This window comes from Homo sapiens, chromosome 3, assembly GCF_000001405.40.
Source record: "Homo sapiens chromosome 3, GRCh38.p14 Primary Assembly".
Lineage (NCBI taxonomy): Eukaryota > Metazoa > Chordata > Mammalia > Primates > Hominidae > Homo > Homo sapiens.
The window spans coordinates 176,015,558-176,017,271 of record NC_000003.12 but is presented as its reverse complement, the minus strand read 5'-3'; the positions used below and the strand labels follow the sequence as shown (position 1 = coordinate 176,017,271).

The following is a 1,714-nucleotide window of genomic DNA, read 5'->3' as shown; positions in this document are numbered from 1 at the left end:
GTTAGTCTAGTTATACATTCTTCTAAATTTTTTTCAAAGTTTTCAACTTCTTTGCCTTTGGTTTGAATGTCCTCCTGTAGCTCGGAGTAATTTGATCCTCTGAAGCCTTCTTCTCTCAGCTCGTCAAAGTCATTCTCCGTCCAGCTTTGTTCCGTTGCTGGTGAGGAACTGCATTCCTTTGGAGGAGGAGAGGCACTCTGCTTTTTAGAGTTTCCAGTTTTTCTGCTCTGTTTTTTTCCCCATCTTTGTGGTTTTATCTACTTTTGGTCTTTGATGATGGTGATGTACAGATGGGTTTTTGGTGTGGATGTCCTTTCTGTTTGTTAGTTTTCCTTCTAACAGACAGGACCCTCAGCTGCAGGTCTGTTGGAGTACCCAGCCGTGTGAGGTGTCAGTTTGCCCCTGCTGGGGGGTGCCTCCCAGTTAGGCTGCTCGGGGGTCAGGGGTCAGGGACCCACTTGAGGAGGCAGTCTGCCTGTTCTCAGATCTCCAGCTGCGTGCTGGGAGAACCACTGCTCTCTTCAAAGCTGTCAGACAGGGACACTTAAGTCTGCAGAGGTTACTGCTGTCTTTTTGTTTGTCTGTGCCCTGCCCCCAGAGGTGGAGCCTACAGAGGCAGGCAGGCCTCCTTGAGCTGTGGTGGGCTCCACCCAGTTGGAGCTTCCCGGCTGCTTTGTTTACCTAAGCAAGCCTGGGCAATGGCTGGCGCCCCTCCCCCAGCCTCGCTGCCGCCTTGCAGTTTGATCTCAGACTGCTGTGCTAGCAATCAGCGAGACTCTGTGGGCGTAGGACCCTCCGAGCCAGATGCGGGACACAATATCCTGGTGCGCCGTGTTTTAAGCCCATCGGAAAAGAGCGGTATTCGGGTGGGAGTGACCCGATCTTCCAGGTGCCATCTGTCACCCCTTTCTTTGACTAGGAAAGGGAACTCCCTGACCCCCTGCGCTTCCCTAGTGAGGCAATGCCTCGCCCTGCTTTGGCTCGCGCATGGTGCGCTGCACCCACTGACCTGCGTCCACTGTCTGGCACTCCCTAGTGAGATGAACCCGGTACCTCAGATGGAAATGCAGAAATCCCCCTTCTTCTGTGTCGCTCACTCTGGGAGCTGTAGACCGGAGCTGTTCCTATTCAGCCATCTTGGCTCCTCCTTAAAAACTTTTCATACATTCTCTTAATAAAAAAATACTGAAGAAGAAAGTATTCTTATATTATGAAGTAAGAGAATGTATGAAAGAGAATGTATGAAAAGTTGAAAATTTTTTTTGCAATCTACTCATCTGACAAAGGGCTAATATCCAACAAATGAACTCCAACAAATTTGCAAGAAAAAAACAACCCCATCAAAAAGTGGGCAAAGGATATGAACAGACACTTCTCAAAAGAAGACATTTATGCAGCCAAAAGACACATGAAAAAATGCTCATCATCACTGGCCATCAGAGAAATGCAAATGAAAACCACAACAAGATACCATCTCACACCAGTTAGAATGACAATCATTAAAAAGTCAGGAAACAACAGGTGCTGGAGAGGATGTGGAGAAATAGGAACACTTTTACACTGTTGGTGGGACTGTAAACTAGTTCAACCATTGTGGAAGTCAGTGTGGCGATTCCTCAGGGATCTAGAACTAGAAATACCATTTGACCCAGCCATCCCATTACTGGGTACATACCCGAAGCATTATTAATCATGCTGCTATAAAGACACATGC

General features: G+C 47.7%; 2 annotated features.

Moving 5' to 3' along the window:
* Nucleotides 272-867: an enhancer, noted in NCBI's record as "NANOG-H3K27ac-H3K4me1 hESC enhancer chr3:175734193-175734788 (GRCh37/hg19 assembly coordinates)". NCBI's record gives its function as "activates a minimal SCP1, AML or CMV promoter by ChIP-STARR-seq in primed H9 embryonic stem cells {active_cell/tissue: H9 hESC(primed)}" and the evidence as "EXISTENCE:reporter gene assay evidence [ECO:0000049][PMID:30033119]".
* Nucleotides 868-1,463: an enhancer, noted in NCBI's record as "NANOG-H3K27ac-H3K4me1 hESC enhancer chr3:175733597-175734192 (GRCh37/hg19 assembly coordinates)". NCBI's record gives its function as "activates a minimal SCP1, AML or CMV promoter by ChIP-STARR-seq in primed H9 embryonic stem cells {active_cell/tissue: H9 hESC(primed)}" and the evidence as "EXISTENCE:reporter gene assay evidence [ECO:0000049][PMID:30033119]".